This window comes from Homo sapiens, chromosome 12 (genome assembly GCF_000001405.40).
Source record: "Homo sapiens chromosome 12, GRCh38.p14 Primary Assembly".
NCBI lineage: Eukaryota > Metazoa > Chordata > Mammalia > Primates > Hominidae > Homo > Homo sapiens.
Window position 1 is genome coordinate 11,945,413 of NC_000012.12, and position 19,200 is coordinate 11,964,612.

Sequence of the window (19,200 nt, forward strand, 5' to 3'; positions counted from 1 at the left end):
AGCTGCCACTAAACAGTTTACCTGCCACCCCCTACCCACCCCCAGAGAGCATAGATAAGATTTATTGTGTATACACTGCAGTTTTTCCTCAACCTCCACTTATTTTTATAAATCCTTAACTAGGCTTCAGAGCTGATTCCCTCACATATGAGGAAACAATTTGCATACAAAATAATTAACCAACATGCAAACTAACTAGATGTTTTTCAGTTATTTTTTGACGAGAGAAAAAATCGCAGAAGATGCATGAGCAAATGGCAATGCCGGACATAGGATCCAAACAGGTTGGGAGATGACAGCACCAGAGGCAGCATGATGAGGTTGCCTTTAAGTAGGAGAGGGGGCGCTCTGGGCTCTGACCCTGGAGGAAGTGCACAAAGGATGCATATTGATTGGCAGGGGAAATGGGTGAGGGGGTTCCAGGGGCATGGGGTGAGCAGAGCAGGGAGTCAAAGGGCTGTCTGCTCAGAGTGCAGAAGGCCATGTATGGGGAATGGCAAAGGTTTCTAAGTTGTTGAAGAGAATAGGAAAGGGATGTAGCAAGAAGATAAAAGGTTGCTGGTACTGGGCATCGAAAGACCCAGTTGAGGCTGAGACACAAATGGTGGCAGTGTGCATGGCCTTTCCCCCAAAACACTGCTCAGCTGACCAGGTGTGAAAGGATAGGAGAGTAGGGGGAGGTGTTTTGCTGAGTGGGTACAGAGGAAGGATGGGTGCGGGGAGGCAAAGATATCAAGGGTGTTGAGGGGAGAGTAGCTCAGATGATCACAGGACTTGGACTGGGAAGGGAAGGGAGGGAGGCGAGGAGGGTGCTTCTGTTAGCCAGCGTTCTCGTTAGAGGGAGCAGGATCCGCTCCAGCTAGTTTAGCAGAAAGTGATATAGATAGCTCAAAAAAATCCCTGAGAGGTGCAAAGAAACAGACTCTTGGCTGAGCTTCCAGGAATGACTCCCCACCACACACGGTGGAGCCGGCCCATCAAAGGAGCTGAGCCTCCGCCATCATCACGAAGCTTTCACTTGGGGACCGGCCACCACAGCTGCCCGCGAGAGAACCAAACCCCCAATGCCACCACCATCCTCCTGGAAAACAGAGGCCTCTGCTCTGCCTTCCCTGGAGAACTCGGTTTTGAGTCAAAGCCTGACGTAGAAGCATTATGGTTGGTGACACCTAAATCACACATCTGCCCCTGGCAGCAAGGGGGCAAGGGGGACCTGCGTGTGTGTGTGTGTGTGTGTGTGTTTCATCTCCCTTCCCCCTTGCACCCCTGTTGAGAGGTTGGTATTTACACTATGAAAAACCATCAAAGTGTGGAAAGAGTTCAGGAGGTTTTGGGCAGCCAGTCACTATAGCACGGGTCCCCAATCCCTGGGCTGTGGACTGGTACCAGACCATGGCCTGTTAGGAACCAGGCTGCACAGCAGGAGGTGAGTGGCAGGTGAGTAAGCATTACCACCTGAGCTCTGCCTCCTGTCAGATCAGCGGGGGGCATCAGATTCTCATAGGAGCATGAACCTTATTGTGAACTGCACATGTGAGGGATCTAGGCTGTGAGCTCCTTAGGAGAAGCTAATGCCTGATGATCTGAGGTGGAACAGTTTCATCCCGAAGTCATGCCCCTTCCACCTGCCATTGGTTCATGGAAAAATTATCTTCCAGGAAACCAGTTTCTGGTGCCTGGTTGGGGCCCACTGCACTATGGGGGATAGCAAGGCTGCTGCTTGGGTACGTGCTGCTTCTCTGTTAAAATATCCTGCTAGGCATATGCAATCCTGCAGGCACATGACTTGGCAAGGTCTGTTCTTTATACGAAGAGAAACATGCTCCTTCTTTGGGGGACATTACCCTGCCCCAGTGCACAGCTTGCTGAGCAAAGTGCAGCTTAGATTTCAGCCCCTCCCTGACTCCTCAACTGGCACCACCATTTGTGACAACTCCAGAGCTGACTGCCTGGGAGGAAACAGAAGGAACCAGGGCCTCTCGGCCTCTCGGAGTCTCTTCAAAGTCAAACAGCTTGTGTGGTGGGAACAAGATGACGGGGAGTCAGAAGGATGGGTGCTGTGGTCACAGCATGAAGCACGGGGTGTAAGACTTCTGGGGGGATCCTCAGCGTGGGATAGCAAGTCCTGTGGGAGGGTGGAGTGCAGTGGTGATAAGATCTTGAAACTGAGGAAGCAGTTTGAGAGGCAGATCATCTATAGGGGTATTAAAAATTGAGTGGAAGAAAATGAAGAATGAAGCCTCAGTGAGAGAATCACAAGGAAACAGTAGGTGACAATGAGAGGAGGTAGAGCCAGGTGGTAATAGCCTCGGACGACTTCACACAGGGGCAGAGTAGCCATGGGAGCAAACAAGCGACAACCACAACAGTCTAGCTTTCCTCTCCTGGCCCCTTGCTACCTGGAACATCAATTTGTTCATTTAAGCAAATATTTATTTATTTAAACCAATAATGAACCTCCATGTCTTAGTTGGCTCAGGCTGCCAGAACGAAATACCATGGCTTAAACAATAGGAATTTATTTTTCATAGTTCTTGTAAGAGTCCATTCTCGCACTGCTTTAAAGGAATACCTGAGACTGGGTAATTTATAAAGGAAAGAGGTTTAATTGGCTCACAGTTCTGCAGGCTGTACAGGAAGCATAGCGGCTTCTGCTTCTGGGGAGGCTTTAGGAAGCTTCCAACCATGCTGGAAGGCAAAGCAGGAGCGACAGGTCCCACATGGAGGGAGCAGGAGCAAGAGAGAGAGGGAGGAGGAGGTGCTGCACACTTTTAAACAACCAGATCTGACGAGAACTCCCTCACTATCCCAAAGAGAGTACCAAGTGGGGGGGGTGGTGGTGTTAAACCATTCATGAGAACCCGCCCCTATGATCTAGTCACCTCCCACCAGGCCCACCTCCAACACTGGGAATTGCAATTCTACATGAGATTTGGGTGGGGAGACAGACCCAAACCATATCAGTTCTGGAGTCTGGAAGTCGGAGATCAGGGTGTCAGCCAGCATGGCTGGGGTCTGGTGATGGCCACCTTCTCACTGTGTCCTCGCCTGAGGTCGGGGCAGAGAGAGAGAGCACATATGAGCTCTCTGGTGTCTCTTCTTATAAGGACACTAATCCCACCATGAGGGTCCTACTCTTACGACCTCATCTGAACCTAATCACCTCCTAAAGACCCCCTCTCCAAACACCATCACATTGGGCAACCCAACTTGTTATCTCCAGCCTGAGCCTCCCCCCAGAACTCTTGGACCCCTGTGCTTCATGCTGTGACCACAGCTCCCATCCTTCTGACTCCCCGTCATCTCGTTCCCACCACAAATATTCTTTGACTTTGAAGAGACACCGAGAGGCCAAGAGGCCCTGGGTGCCTCTGTTTCTTCCCAGGCAGTCAGCTCTGGAATTGTCAGAAATGGTGGTGCCAGCTGAGGAGCTCCTCAGTGGGCTTCAATGCATGATTGGGGAGGGGAGGGACACAACTCAGTCCACAGCACTCCACTATCTGTGAACAAAAACAAAGTCTCTATTCTCATGAAGCTTACTTAGCTTCTACTAGAGGGAGGTGGACAATAAACAAAAAATAAATAAATGATATATTGAGGTAACAAGGCCATAAAAAGATTAGGTTGGTGGGGTGAGGAGCGGCTGGGCATTACTCTGTATAGAATGAACATGGAAGATGAAGGAGTAAGACAGTGAATATCTGTGTGAAGAGTTTTCAAGTCTGAGAGCAGCAAGTGCAAACACCCTGAGGCAGGATCAGGTTTTACCTGTGGAGCTGCCGAAGAGAGAGGGAGGAGGAGGAAAGTAGAATTTGTATTCGTTGGAGTGTAACTGGGGGGCCAACCACGTAGGCGCATTGTAAAGACTTCAGCTTTTACAGCTGAAGGTGGAAAGCCATGGCAGGTTAAAGGGGAGGGAGGTGACATGACCGAGAAAGGGAGGATGGGAACCCTGAGGTGAGAAAGTGACACGGGGGTGCTCCTCGGGAGAAAGGTGTGTTGCAGAAAGGACAAGGAGGTGGCAGCAGAGTGGTTTGGATAGGCTGAGTGTAGTGGTGTGAGGGTCCCACAGGCACAGACCCCTGGGGTCTGCAGCAGCCAGAAGGGGCTGCCCTGTGGGAGACCCATTCTGGGGAAGGGCTGAGGTTCCATGTGGAAGCCGCCGGCAGCAAGTTCCACAAGGTCTCAGGATGGAAGATGAGAGGGGATATGGCAAAGCCTGGGTGCCTCTTAGAATGTGCAGAAAGGCTTTCTGGAGAGTAGGCAGAGGGCATGAGTCTCTCTGGCCAAGAGCTGCCTCCTGCTACGTTTTGAGAGGAAAAGGTAGCACAGTGGAAACTAGGAAAGCTGTCCAGCCAGGAAAAGCCCCCATCCCTGAGATCTGGGTCAGCCTAAAGGTTCTGATGCTTTGGTGAGCCGGAGGAGGAGCTTCACAAGGAAGAGTCACTGGAAGGAGAAACCAGAAGCAGGGAGGGAAGGGCTGCCACCTGAGGAGACGTCCTCCTTCACGACTTTGCTGGCCTGGTCACCTGGGCCTGCAGGGGAAGGGCAGGGAGGTGCCACCTATTGTGAAGGAAAATCAGCCACAGTGTATGTCTAAGCAAAAGCCACTCTCCAAACCCTCGTTTGCAATTTTGTCACTTCTTTGGCAACAAGCCCCCTGCAGCTGTTCCACCCAGAGCCTCTGCCAGGTGACCTGGCCGTGCCCAGTGCCCCACAGCTGCAGCCTGCTGGCGGGGACTCCAAGTCTCCCCTGCTCCCAGCTTTCCTGACTCGGGGCTGTTGGGCTTGGAGGGAGCTGCATTGGGGGACAGGTGAGGGAGGAGGCCGGGGCACCAGCAGGAAGCTCTGGCTCTCCTTCTCTTTCCTGGTAAAAGCAAGGCACAAAGCACTCTTTGATCTGTGCCCTCTGCCAGTTCTGGCAGGGCTGCGCTTGTCACTGTTCCAAAAAAGAGCAGAAGGTTACTTAGCTATGGATGAATAATAATTGGGCATTTGTCTAACAGCTACTGTACTGATGAATAATTAAAATTTTTATTACAATTGAGGCAAAGAGCACTCTACCCATACGGATGGTCTGTCAGCTCTGCCAGAGGAAATGCAGGTAATTGAAGAGTGTCCTCCAAGTTCTGAAATAATAGTCATGATCATGGCAAAGATGTCTGGGTTAAAAGCTGGGAAAATAGGTGGACAACCAGACCCAATCACCAAGGCTTCTTCCTTTTTGGGATGTAATAAGGTAAATCGGCTAAAGCTGGTCTTGGGAGTGCAAATGGCTGGAACAGTCAGGGAAAGCTAGGAGTGAAAACCAGGAGGAACAGAAATAAAGAGAAATAGATGAAGACTTACTAGGCAAATGCCCTTATATAGTAGCTGATGAGGATGACTTTGATGAGATAAGAGGGGACAGCTGGAGCATAATGGAAAAAGTCAGAAATGAGAACACCCTTGTCAAATGGCTTGGCTCCTTTTTGGCTGTAATCTTGTGCAAACTCACTTAACCTGCACAAGCTTCCCTTTCTGCCTCTATAAAATGGGGATGATACTGTTTAATCATTGGCTCATCTTCTGAGGATTAAACAAGATAATGTTGAGAATATTTAATAATTATGAAGGCAGACAGCAAATGCAAGTAATTATAACTCAGAAGTCAGAATTAAAGGTAACTGGGTTCAAACAGCTTAAGAGTTGGGACGGGTTGAGTGAATGAGGATACAGAAACAGTGGAGAAGAAAATCAGTGGTGTTGGGGTTGGACCAAATGAAATCAACAGTGGAATTTCACTAACTTAAATACATTGTGCAAGGTAAACAAATTCCTTTAGTTATCAAATACCATTTGATACTTCCCGGGTGTGTTAATAAGACAGTCCACTCAAAAAATGGACCACTAAATGATAATTATTTTGATGGGAGAGTGTCTATGGAATTCATACACCCACGAAATTATACTGTGAGGTGTGACCATGCACAGGAAAGACTATTATGCCCAACCTTTTGAGAGCATGTCATGTGCAAGAGAACCTGGACACACCCGAGAGATAAATGGCAAGAATGCCCTGGCTCCCCAAACATATAAGGAGGAGGCTGTGGCTTGCTCTTCCCCTGCTCTTCCTCTGTAGTGATCGGCCATGCAGTCCATGTGATTCGAGTTTATGATGGGAACCAAAAATCTTCAATGTAAAACATTTTTTATTTGTTACTTCCATCCATTTTTCCTGCTGTCCTTAACCCTGCTTTTTCTCTTTTTTCCATCTTACCTTCCTTGTAATTGATTGGGGTTAGCATCCTCCTTTTTACTGCCTTTATTTTGAACAACTGATACCATATTTCTATTTCATAGTGATTCACTTTAAATTGTTGTTATTTAAATTTAACCTTTAATATTATTATTAAAAGTTAATAATATTAAAGTACCTTGAGCTAAGCACTCAAGGTACATAATCTTTTTTAATCCATACAACACTCCTGTGTTCCTCATTTTACACAGAATAAAAATAAGGTTCAGGCCAGGCACGGTGGCTCATATTTATAATCTCAGTGTTTTTGGAAGACCTAGGTGGGAGGATCACTTAAGGCCAGGAGTTCAAGGCTAGCCTGGGTAACATAGCATGAATCCATCTCTAAAAATATTTCAAAATTAGCCAGGCGTGGTGTTGTGCACCTGTAGTCCCTGCTACTCGGGAGACTGAGGCAGGAGGATCATTGAGCCCAGGAGGTCAAGGCCACTGCAATCCAGCCTCAGTGACAGAGCAAAACCCCGTCTCAAAAAAAAAAAAAAAAAGAAAGAAAAGAGAAACTGAGGTTCAGAGGGATTTAAGTAACTAGCTCAAGGTCCCAAGACTTCTAATGCATAGAGCCAGGATCTGAAGCTTATTTATCTCTTAAGAACAATCAAATTCACTATAATAATTCCTTCCAGGCCAGACGCGGTGGCTCATGCCTGTAATCCCAGCACTTTGGGAGGCCAAGGTGGACGGATCACCTGGGGTCAGGAGTTTGAGACCAGCCTGGCTAACATGGTGAAAACCTGCCTCTACTAAAAATACAAAATTAACTGGGTGTGGTGGTGGGCACCTGTAATCCCAGCTACTTGGGAGGCTGAGGCAGGAGAATCACTTGAACCTGGGAGGCAGAGGTTGCAGTGAGCCGAGATCATGCCACTGCACTCCAGCCTAAACAACAGAGTGAGACTCTGTCTCAAAAAACGAAACAAAACAAAAATCCCTCCATAGTTCATATGGCAGGTGCAGCATTGACCACAGTGCAGTCCATTTGCCTTACAATCTACTAGGAGAAATAATAGCACAACAAATTAATTCAGCAAGTATTTGTTGAGTGCATTTGTTCAAGGTATGGAGAAACCAGGTGTAAATGAGAGATGAAGCCGCGTTCCTGGGAGTGACTATGAGGTGAGCATCACGTGTGTGGTGCCCAGCGCTGGAGGCCTTGCAGGGCCAATCACGACCTCTCGGGATGTCCAGAGATGCTGCTACCACCCAAGCAGCCCCTCCCAGACTGGAGTGTCCAAAAACAAGTGAACAGCAGGCAGGCTGGCATGGAAATGGACAGATGGGACTTGAAGGCAGGAACCTGGGTCCAGTCCTGGTCTCACCATCACTAGGCCCACGACCTCTGTAAGACCCTCGCCTGCTCAGTCAGTTTCATCGTTTGTAAATAAGAATACTGTTGAGCAGAGAGGTGCAGGTGAGAGATTGTCCAAAAATGCTTTGAAAAGGATGCTAAGTAACAGTTAGCTTTTATTATCCCTATGTTTCTGCTAATCAAACCCAGGATAGTTTTCTACAGCAATCTGTGAGAGGCTCCATTATATACTGTATTTGAATATTCCAAACTACTCCTTTGCAGGAAGGAGTAATTCTCTCACATGCTCCTGCCTTGAGTGCTGAGTGGAGTTACAGAAGGTGAAGGGCCACAGAGGAGAATGGCTGCCAGGCATCTTTCCATACCAGCTCCTTCTTTCCATTCCTTCTTGGGCATGGATTTATATAGCACATTAACAAAGAGCCAGGGAGGAAAGGAAGAATTTCTAAACCCTTTGCTAGAAATCCTCAAGTGTTTAGCTACACTGGAGCTACCCCAGGTGCTGCTACCCCAGGTCCTCTCTGTGACCCTGCCCCGTCTCTGCTGGCTGAACACCATATCTGAATGACTGTGCCCTGACTACTGAGCTCCAAGGGTCTGGAATGCCACTTCACATCACAGGATAACAAGGCAGCAGCTGTCCACCCCTCTGAGCACGCCTGGACATCTGGCTGGTGTCTTTCCAAAGGTCTCCATCCTGAGCAGTCCTCAAGCAAACACTCGAACCTCCTGTGGTGAACTCAGGCCAAGACTATGTGCTTGACTGTCGGTGGCAGCTGCTGAGCTCCAGATGACACGGGTCATGAAGAGTTGGGCTTTTATCTCAGTTCTTCAAACAACCAGATCAGACGTAACAGGTAAGCAATCGGATTTATTTGCCCAGCTCTAAACTCTTGTGCCTATCAGAAAGAATCAAGCCAAACCCTGAAAGGTCAATTTCAGATGCTGTGTCATTATCCTCACCGAGACTTTTTCCTTCTTTCTCAGTTTTCTCAAGTTGTTTAGAGGAGAACTGCAGGGAATTTTCCCACAATATCCAGGAACGAACACCCAGTAACATCTCCCTGAATCTGCAGTGTTATCCTAAAATTCAAGTACATTTGTAGCCGATCCGTCTGCATCTGCACAATATCCCTAAGTATCATGGTGGGGAGACTGGGATATTCGTAGTCTGTACCCTCAGGGAGAAGGCTCTCCTATCTTGGTGCCTATAGAATGGCAGGGAGAGGAGATAATGCTATGAAAACAGTAGGAAGAGCCCCTGCCATTCAAAGAATCAGTCTACCCTTGAAATTAGACCTCATGCAACCTCCCTTCCTGATGCAAACCTGAAACCACCCATGGCCTCATGGACAGGAAGCCACCCAGCTTGATCTGTACAAACGTCCTTAGAGTTGGCTGCATGAGGCTGCCCCTGGCTCTGACACACACTCAATTATTTGGGAAAAAAAAAAAACTGCCTTATACTGAAATGAAACCAGCTTCTTTAGCACTTCCTTCCATTGATCCATCAGCTATAATGCACTTGCATTCTATCTTCAAAAAATATGGGCAGCCAAAATAAAAGGAACGGGTGTCTGCTCTATCTCTTCTAGACCTTCCTCTCTGAGAGGTCCTTTAGCTTGTTTTGTGACACTTTTTAAAGTAAGACATTTAGACTCATATCTTGACAAATTATAAATGGCTTTCTCCAGTTGCCCCTTTTCCTGCCCCACTCCTCTGTCCTTCCTTACAGCATAAGACCTTCTAGTCATTGCAGTTTTCAACATAAACAGATAGCAGAGAACACCCGGCAAAGACCAACATAAGTGGCTGTGCACATCAAGAAAAAGACAGTTATGCCTGCTTCTCAGTGATTATTAAGGGAAAATAAAACCTACAATGATAAACTTCACATTTTGCTAATTTCCAGTCATGTGTCTCCATCCAGGCATTGCCCACAACCTTAACTTCTCTCCAAAAGTATCTGAGCCAATGTGTCAACATTGCTCCAAATACAAGGTGCAAGTATACACTACTGACATGAACCATCATCCAAAACTTACCTATCTTCCTCTCACAGTCACCCCCACCTGCCAGAACACTCCCTGGTGGTGGGAAGAGAGGTGGCAAAAAGCAGGGCATTAACTAATTAACACGTCCTTTCACTCAACACGCTTGCCTTGAAGCAATTTTGTTTTCACAGCATCGGGCTGGAAAAAAAAGACCTTGAAAAATCATAGCCAATGCCTCATACGTTCTGGTAGATCTATATTTGAAATCTCCAAAGCAGTAGAGAATTTTTTTATGGTTGATGTTGATGATGATGATGGTGACATTTTTGTGTGTTGTTTGTTTTACATTATAAGTATTTCAACGTAAAGAGAGAAGCGTAGGCAATAATAAATATCTATGTAGCCACAATCTAGCTAACACAATAATTTACCATATTTTGTTCCAATTTTTTTGTAAAAAAACAAACAAACAAACAAAAAACAAAAAGCATTGAGATGCATGTACTTCTGTTGGAGCATCCCTCCCTGATCCCAGTCACTTCCCTCCACTCCAGCAGGCAGCCACTGGCCTGAGGCTAATGGTAACCATGCCATGAAGATCTTTAAAAGATACTCACTACATATGTACGCATAAAGAAATGGAATTTTTCTTTCTACATAAATTCTATCATATTGTATGTTCTAATCTGCACTTGCTCTTTTCACTTGACATCCTCCTTTTCGATAGAGCCATAATGACCCATGCTGCCTAACTCATACATCCCAATGGCTAGTATTTCTCCCATCTTAAAAACAAAAACCTTCCATGAACTTTGCCAACCATGTACTGCCCCCCTCTCTGTTGTACTCTTCACCTTTCTTGCAATACAACTCCCTGCAAGTGTTGTCCACACTCCCGATCTCCTAGTTTTCTCCCAAACTCTCTCAACTCACTCCAGTTAGACTTCACTAGCAAGAAACTTGGGTATCGTAGCTAAAAATCCTTCCAGCCTAGAATTAGGACTTTGCTTCATGAGTGGCCAAGAGAAGCGTCATGTCTCAGTTCCCGGTGGTGGTTTCTGTGTGCCCTGGTAGCTTGACAGCACCTTCCTCAGTTTGTCTGTCCTCCACGTTAGCACATGGGACCAAGCACCTGGTGAACTGGCCCACCTTGGAAGCTGCTGGCAATTCTGCTGCCTCTGCCACCACGAGACTCTGAAGAATACTGTACATACACAGATGCCCCGTCTAGAAGTCCTTTCTGACAAGTCCTAAGGACATGCATGAACATCACATTGAGCCTTTCCTTCCCTTGCGAACACCATCATGTGGGAGAAGGGGAAGAGCCACTATCCAGGTCTCCCCACCTGTGGATCACTCTCAGCATCCACTCATCTCACCAGCTGCTAGGCTGACAGAGATCCACAGTGTGGCCAAGAAGAGCTTTTCACTCCATCCGCTCCGCCCCTAAAAACACACCTCTGTTGGAGTTACTGTAAGGGTCTGTGAATGAATGTTTAGATCCCCATTAGGGAAAGAGATCAGGGCTCAGGGATCAAGGATACGTGGTTCTCAGAGCTCATCACCTGCGAGAGGATACCTTTATTGTTCATCCATATGCTGATCCCAGCCTTGCTCCCTGCCCCACTCATACGAAAAGCCTAACTATAGCTAACTCTATTTATAAATCCCATGAATACACAAGTCAGGCTTACGGTGGTTTTGTAAACCATTTCTCTCCTTTTATTTTTATTTTTTTGTCCTATTCAATTACTTTGCATCTCAGTTGATGCCAAAATATCAGTGGATATGCACACATTCTAAAAACTTCAGTGTACTGCTCAGAAAATATGGAAAAACAGACACTCTGAATATCCTCTCCAAAGCTCAGCACTGAGAAACAAACTACCTGTGCAAAGAAAACCGCAAATAGATGCTGTTTGCCCTGTTTGTTTATAGATGAATTTTCATTTTGCATTATGCTTTTCATACGAGTGCATCCTAAAAAGATTTTCACAATGAACTGTGTACATGTAGTAAAGATTGCAAAAAGAGGGAAATAATAAAGGATAAAAGCAAAGACTAAACTTTCTACCAAAGATTTTGGAGGAAAAAGCGTTGGCCAGGATAAATAAAATATTTTTAAATGAGTGGTGTATAATTAAATGGTCAGAGAAATAACTGAAGGCAAGTAAATTGACTTTCTTTTCCTTTTTTTACATTTCTTATTTCTCCCTTGCATAAGACAACCAAGGTTTGAGCCAGCTGCTGTCTTCTTCCTATCTATGGGACTTTGAGAAGTTTATTTCTGTTACCTCCATAAGCCTCAGTCTCTTCATCTGTTAAATAAAAGATAATTGGAGGCTGAGGCAGGAGAATGGCGTGAACCCGGAAGGCGGAGCTTGCAGTGAGCCGAGACTGCGCCACTGCACTCCAGCCTGGGTGACAGTGAGACTCCATCTCAAAAAAAAAAAAAAAAAACAAAAAAACAAAAAAAAAAAAACACACATAATTGGCTGGGCATGGTGGCTCATGCCTGTAATCCCAGCACTTTGGGAGGCTGAGGCAGGCGGTTCACAAGATCAAGAGATCGAGACCATCCTGGCCAACATGGTGAAACCCCGTCTCTACTAAAAATACAAAAATTAGCTGGGCATGGTGGTGTGTGCCTATAATCCCAGCTACTCAGCAGGCTGAGGCAGAGAATTGCTTGATTGCTTGAACCTGGGAGGCGGAGACTGCAGTGAGCCAAGATCGCACCACTGCACACCAGCCTAGAGATAGAGTGAGACTCCGTCTCAAAAAAAAAAAAAAAAAAAAAAATTACAGGACCCATCTCTTTGAGTAACTGTATTAAATGTGAATGCAGCACCTAGCCACATTACTATGCACATAGAAAGTATTCAATAATGTTTACTGCTATTAATATTAATATTTCCTTCATAAATTTATTAATATTCATTTTCTCCCATCTTAACCCTTCTGGGCCCCTCAATCCACTGGACCTGCCTTCAGCCTCCTGCCTCTTTACTGCCTTCATTCGCACTTCTTTGAGTCAGGTTGGCAAACCCCTTCATAATCCGCCCAATCTAGTTTTCCAGCCCCCAATACTCTCCTGACCTATAAATTCGCTTTCTGCATTGGCCACAATGAACTCCTCCCAGGTGGCAGCTCTTTGGATCTCTCTATCCTTCCTTTCTTTGTGCTCTTTTCCTGGAATGTCCTTCTCTTGTCATCCTACCCAAGACAATCAGTTTCTCCCTCTATCGCTCCTTGAATTCGCCTCTGATATTGCACTTGTGTCTGCATATTGACAGGTTTATGGAAGACACTTCCTAGCCATCTTGTGAGCTCCTTGAAGGAACTGTGTCTTTATCTGTATAGCCCCACCTAGCAGATGCTCAAGGCATGCTTGTGGAATGAATAAGGGAACAGATCATTTCTTCTGAGCTGTTTGCAGTCTGGCTAAGCCAATTGAAAGAATGCCTTCTCTTGCAATCTACAAATTGAAAAGCCTGTGAGACCCTCAGGACACTCAGGCAAGTTTTCCAGCATATGTGACAATACCAAGCCTTAGTGCATTTGCCTCTCACGTGGAGGAGTCTCTTCTAAAAATGAAACAGAGATGAAGGGTGAGACTCTTACAGTGGTTCAACTCCCCTAAGATCCTCTTGTGATTTAGAAGCATCTTGGAAAGAAATCCTTGACACTCGCCTCGCCCACCCTGAGCTATAAGGTAAAGCTCTCGGTGGTAAACGTGGCTCCCTGGTAGGGAGACTTCTTTTATCCTCATTGTTTCTGGAGGGGGAAGTGTTAGCACAGAGACTCCCTGGGAAACCCGAGGATGCCTCACCACCTCACCATAACAGCAGGAAACCCAGAAATGATTCACAGCTGAAACCTCTGGCCCACATCGACACATCACATCACATGGTTGTTTCAACTGGAAACCAAACAGCCATCTGGGCATGATTATCTGTATTTTTGTGAAGGTGTAAATACACAGTGAGTAGGAAGAGTCCAATAAAACCTATTATAATGTTGGTGGTGGGCACCACAAAGAGAGCACCCCTTAATAGACATTCCCTGGTCCAGTGAAAGACATACTTTGTACTGAGTCCCGCGCCTGGGAGACCTTCCAGGAAAGTAAATCCCCAGGAGAGAGAGGCATTTCCCAGTAGGTGCTTTGCTTTTTGGTTGTTTTCTTTTCTTGGTTGTTTACTTTGTTCTACTTTGTTTTTACTACAGTTCTGTCCTACTGGTGGCGGAGTGGGACTCCTTCATGATGTGGCACAGTTTCCTTGAGTTTTAGGAAGAAACGGCCCATGTGGCAGATTCAGAAACAATGAATCAGCACCTAAACAAACAGGAAGGTAAGCGGCCCTCCCAAGGTCACCTGGGTAGTGGCAGGGTGTGAACCAGAGTCCAGGTGTCCTGACCACCCACCACCGCCTGTCCTCCTCCCTCATACAAGATCCCTTCTAGGCCAGCGCTGAGAATAAAGGCAGCGGCATCATGGGGAGGGGGTGAGGACAGAAGGGTCAGGGAAGGCACTGGGAGGGAGAGGCAATCCCAACCCAACTCCAACAGCCTAGGGTCAAAGCCCAGCTCCACTCCTGGCAGCTGTGAGACTTTGGTGCATTTAATGTCCTTGAGCCTCTATTTCTTCACCTGGAAAATGGGATTGATGACAATATGCGTCCCTCCAACAACTAAATGGCACATCAAAGCTTTGGTTAAAGGGGTTGGCACATCGTGAGGACCACGTCAGCTCTTAATACTCCAATGATGGCTTCCCTATAAGTGCAGAGTCTTCTTCAAGTGGTGGTTAGCACGGGTTTTGCCTGTTCCTTTAATCATGGCTGTGAATTTGCTCCGGCACCATTGTTCCCAAAGTAGAATTTACTGGCAGCTTCCCCCCACCCATGACCCATCTCTGCTTGGAAATTTTTTAGTAGTAGTACTGGCTACTTTTAAGGAGAACTCATTCCACTGTTGCACAATGGCAGCTCTTAGAAAGATCCCTCTTGAATTGGGATAAAATCTGATCTCCCTCTCTATAATTTCTCCCCACTGGTCTTAACACTACTGCTTTGCTTCCCATACTTGGAGAAATGCTCCCCCAGAGACTCTAGGTGATGTATTGGGGATCAGTAAACCCATAAAATAAATAAGGCATGTTTTCCTTATGAATCAAATTAAAATGAAGATTTCTTAGGGAAACAGAATTTAAGCTTTGCATTGAATGGTTATGCTTTTTAAAATATGTTTCAGGCTGGGCATGGTGGCTCACGCCTGTAATCCCAGCACTGGGAGGCCGAGGCGGGCAGATCACCTGAGGTCAGGAGTTCGAGGCCAGTCTGGCCAACATGGCGAAACCCCGTCTCTACTAAAAAATACAAAAATGAGCCGGGCTTGGTGGTGGGCGCCAGTAATCCCAGCTACTGGGGAGGCTGAGGCAGGTGAATCGCTTGAACCCAGGAGGTGGAGGTTGCAGTGAGCCAAGATCACGCCACTGCACTCCAGCCCAGGCAACAGAGCGAGACTCTGTCTCAAAAAAAAAAAAAATTACATTTCAATTTAAGATATTTTTTATTAAAACAAACAAGCATATTTTAGTATATAATATAAAATTCAAATCATTTCTTTTTCAGATTTGGCACAAAAAAGTTTGCTTCGGGCAACCATTGCCAGCTCTATCCAGACCTCCAAGGAGTGAGTATCTATTCACTTGCCTCTGACACTGAGGATTTCTAGATGGAGAAGGCTGAGAAATGCTACTCTGTTGAACAGAGCTACAAAGAACAAATGTAATTCCTTTCCCATGGGGCTGCCCATCAAGTTTTCCTAAGATCTTACAGTTGGAAAGAGACTTAGAAGTTGTCTAAATCGATCTCCCTTCTGCAGCAATCCTAACAGATGGTCACCCAGCCTCCGCTGGATCAGGCTCAGAGCGGAGAAGAGACCACATGGTAATCATTGCCATTGCATCGCTGGCCAGCTCTGATTGTTAGAATGTTCTTTTCTTAAGCCTAGCGCCATGCACAGGGGCCCTGGAATGTGGCAGACCTGAGGTGGACTCTTGAACCAGCCGCTTCACCTCACCGGGGCTCAGTTTCCTGTAATCCCAGCACTTTGGGAGGCCAAGGCAGGCGGATCATCTGAGGTCGGTAGTTCGAGACCAGCCTGGCCAACATGGCGAAACGCCGTCTCTACTAAAAATACAAAAATTAACCGGGCTTGGAGGCAGGCACCTGTAATCCCAGCTACTCGGGAGGCTGAGGCAGGAAAATGCTGTAAAATGGGGTGAATGGTGTTAGCTATATCACGAGGAACAAAAAATGGACAAAAAGCCCTTAGCATTCTGCCTGGCATGTTGAAGGATTCAATAAATGTTCCCTATCATCACCATTCCCTTCCACAGCTTCCATAAGCTAAAATTCTAGAGCCTGTTTGTAATGCTTCTGCAACACCATGCTTTACATATTTGAAAACAGTTAATATACTCTCCCCTGGCTGCACCTAAAAAGCTTTTGTTCCTAAGTTAAATATGCCCCCACCTTCCTTGATAGAATTAACCTCGAAACCTTTCAGTGTATGTTTTTCAGAAAGCTGTTTGAAAGCATGTTAAAAATTCTTAGGAATGAACTGGAGAAATGTCAGAAGACAAAAAGTGCCACGGAGAAAACAAAGGGAGCAGAGGAAAGGGATGGAAAAGGCTAGAATGCAGGGGGCGGGTGCAGTTTAAAATACAGGAGTCGAGTAGCTCACATTCAAAGAACTGGGCTTTCTTATGAAGTTTGATTGGAGACCCTGGCCTGGACCAAAATGGGGCACTCCACTCCTTCTCAGAGTTGCAGGCAGACAGATCTGCCGTGCAGCACTGGCCACCCAGGCTGAAAAGCAGGAAGACCCGAGGAGGGGCTTGGCGAGGGCAGCCCAAGTCTGCTCACTGGGTGGCCAGAAGCACAGCATCATCCTGTGGCCTCCACAGAGAGGGCCAGGAAGCAGGAGGTGGGGCACCAGGAGACCCTGTCTTTACATCATGCTCCAACCCCTAAAAATATGGCCCAATGCATGTATCAAGCTCTCATCCATCCAATTAATTCCTCCTTCTCTTATAGAGAAGAGCAACCAAGGCCCGGCATGATGGCTCATGCCTGTAATCCCAGCATTTTGGGAGGCTAAGGCAGGAAGATCACTTGAGCCCAGGAGTTTGAGATCAGCCTGACCTACATAGCGAAACCCTGTCTCTACTAAAAATACAAAAATTAGCCAGGCGTGGTGACACATATCTGTAACCCCAGGTACTTGGGAGGCTGAGGCAGGAGAATCACTTGAACCCAGGAGGCGGAGGTTGCAGTGAGCCAAGATCATGCCACTGCACTCCAGCCTGGGCGACAGAGGGAGACCTTGTCTCAAAAAAAAAAAAAAAAAAAAAAAGCAGCAACCAAGTGTTAGGAACTGAACTGTGTCCCTCAGAAGTTCATATGTTGGGCCAGGCACTGTGGCTCATGCCTGTAATCCCAGCACTTTGGGAGGCCAAGGTGGGTGGATCACCTGAGGTCGGGAGTTCGAGACCATCCTGACCAACATGGAGAAACCCCATCTCTACCAAAAATACAAAATTAGCTGGTCGTGGTGGCGCATGTCTGTAATCCCAGCTACTCGGGAGGCTGAGGTAGGAGAATCGCTTGAACCCAGGACGCAGAGGTTGCAGTGAGCCGAGATCACGCCATTGACTCCAGCCTGGGCAACAGGAGCCAAACTCCATCTCAAAAAAAAAAAGTTAGTATGTTGAAGTCCTAAATTCCAGTGTGACTGTGTTCGAAGATAGGGACTTTATGGAGGGACTTAAGGTTAAATGAAGCCATGATGATGGGACCCTAATGTGATAGAACCAGGGCAGATCACTTGAGCCCTTGTAAGAAGAGGAAAAGACACCAGAGCTCGCTTCCCACCTGCCGCAGAAGAAAGGACCAAGCGAGGAAACCGTCAGAAGGTGATCATCTGCAAGCCACAGGAGAAACCAGCCCTGCCCACACCGTGACCCTGGACTTCCAGCCTCCAGAACTGTGAGAAAATGCATTTCTGTTGTTTAAGCCACCCAGTGTGCTATTTTGTTACAACAGCCCAAACCAACTCAAACACATAGCATAGCAGTTCCTCAAAAAAGTGGCAATGTTAGTGGAAGTTTCTTCCTTTATGGGTTGAAGCAGAACATGGGGAGAGAAGAGTTCCCCATTGTAGGTAGATTCTTAAAATAATTCAATGCTGTAATTATAACAGATAAGAATGTAGGCTAAAACTAAATTTAAACAGGAAGTTACTTATTTACCTCTAGCTATGAGTTCAATATATTATCTTATTCTTGGAAAAGAAAGAAATGAAATAAAGCCTTGAACAGAGGAAACAGTAAAGAAATAAATCTGCATGGAAGAAAATGGAAAAAGTAAATGAAGTTGGAAGTTGTTAAGTACCAGTATTCTTTAAATTATTTACATGAATTCAGATGTGTAAATCCTCATTGAAGGCAGGAACATTTGTAAAGTATTTACTGGACGCCATTTGTAAAGTCCTTTACTGGACGTATTCAGGGGGCTGAACTAAGTGTGGAAGCTATTAATAAAATAAAAGGTAATATTGATCGTGCCTTTAGAAACTTCTATTTTAGAATGCAAATACTAATAATACCCGCTGAGAATTTAGAGACTATCCCTTATCTCCAGAGGCACTAGCCGCCCTGCAAAGGTTAGGGAGCTCAACAGAAGACCAAAGGGGCTAACAGCAAGATGGAGCAGGAGAGAACCCATTTACCTGGCAGGTGTGAGAAGAGTCAAGGTGTTTCTAAGCACACAGCTGAAAATGGAAAACAGGTGGGTGCTCCTGAGCAGGGGTTGGGGGCCAGAAACAAAGAGGGGCACCCATCAGCACTGTGTTGACAGGGGGGATGAAATTTCAGAGAGATCATCTGGGCCCAAACCCACAGAGCCGAAGGGCCCGGAACACGGGTAACGGGTGAATGTATTCAGTCGGGCCTCCTGCCGCTTGTGGACCTGCTGAGGCCTTTGACGCCACATAAACCAAAATGAGCTGAGGCTTGGAGACTGGGTGGAAGCACTTGGGAATCTCATTTGACCTGTGGATTTTACTGATGGGAAAAAGGAGAAGATGCTCAGAGTGGTGGTCAGCTGCTCTGCCCACATGGGCCACCCAAGAGCACCCACAACCCGCCCTTACACCATGTCCATAGAAAGGGAGTGGTTTTTGGGTTCAGAGGAGAAAGATATCACTTCCTTCTGGGAGCAGGCGTCGGGTAGAGAAAGGGATCAGGCAGGTCTCAGGTTACGCAACAAGAAAGCTCAAACCACCTCTGTCAAACTCCCTCTGATTCTCCTTCATCCTCCTGTTCCAGAGCTTGGTGACTAGGATGCTCCTCTGTGTCCTGTGCAATCTCACAGGCCTTGAGCTTGTTCCCCGGGAGTAACCTCTGCAGAAGCAGGAAATGCCCTCTAGTCAGCTCTTCCGAATGTGAGAAATGAAAGCCTTACCAAAGGAAAGCTGAGGAAACGTGTTCTTCCTTCCTTCCTCCCATCCTTCCTCCCTCTCTTCCTTCCCTCCAT

The 19,200-nt window shown here is 46.6% G+C and overlaps 5 annotated features.

The window, feature by feature from the left end:
• Positions 4,412–5,196: an enhancer, noted in NCBI's record as "H3K27ac-H3K4me1 hESC enhancer chr12:12102758-12103542 (GRCh37/hg19 assembly coordinates)". NCBI's record gives its function as "activates a minimal SCP1, AML or CMV promoter by ChIP-STARR-seq in primed H9 embryonic stem cells {active_cell/tissue: H9 hESC(primed)}" and the evidence as "EXISTENCE:reporter gene assay evidence [ECO:0000049][PMID:30033119]".
• Positions 9,006–9,215: an enhancer, noted in NCBI's record as "active region_5999". NCBI's record gives its function as "activates an Ori minimal core promoter by ATAC-STARR-seq in GM12878 lymphoblastoid cells {active_cell/tissue: GM12878}" and the evidence as "EXISTENCE:reporter gene assay evidence [ECO:0000049][PMID:35858748]".
• Positions 12,903–13,197: a silencer, noted in NCBI's record as "tiled region #8951; HepG2 Repressive non-DNase unmatched - State 21:Repr". NCBI's record gives its function as "represses a minimal TATA promoter and a strong SV40 promoter by Sharpr-MPRA in HepG2 cells {active_cell/tissue: HepG2}" and the evidence as "EXISTENCE:reporter gene assay evidence [ECO:0000049][PMID:27701403]".
• Positions 12,903–14,362: a biological region, named in NCBI's record as "CDK7 strongly-dependent group 2 enhancer GRCh37_chr12:12111509-12112708".
• Positions 13,163–14,362: an enhancer, noted in NCBI's record as "CDK7 strongly-dependent group 2 enhancer chr12:12111509-12112708 (GRCh37/hg19 assembly coordinates)". NCBI's record gives its function as "activates an origin of replication core promoter dependent on BRD2, BRD4, P300/CBP, MED14 and CDK7 cofactors, with strong dependence on CDK7, by STARR-seq in HCT116 cells {active_cell/tissue: HCT116}" and the evidence as "EXISTENCE:reporter gene assay evidence [ECO:0000049][PMID:35650434]".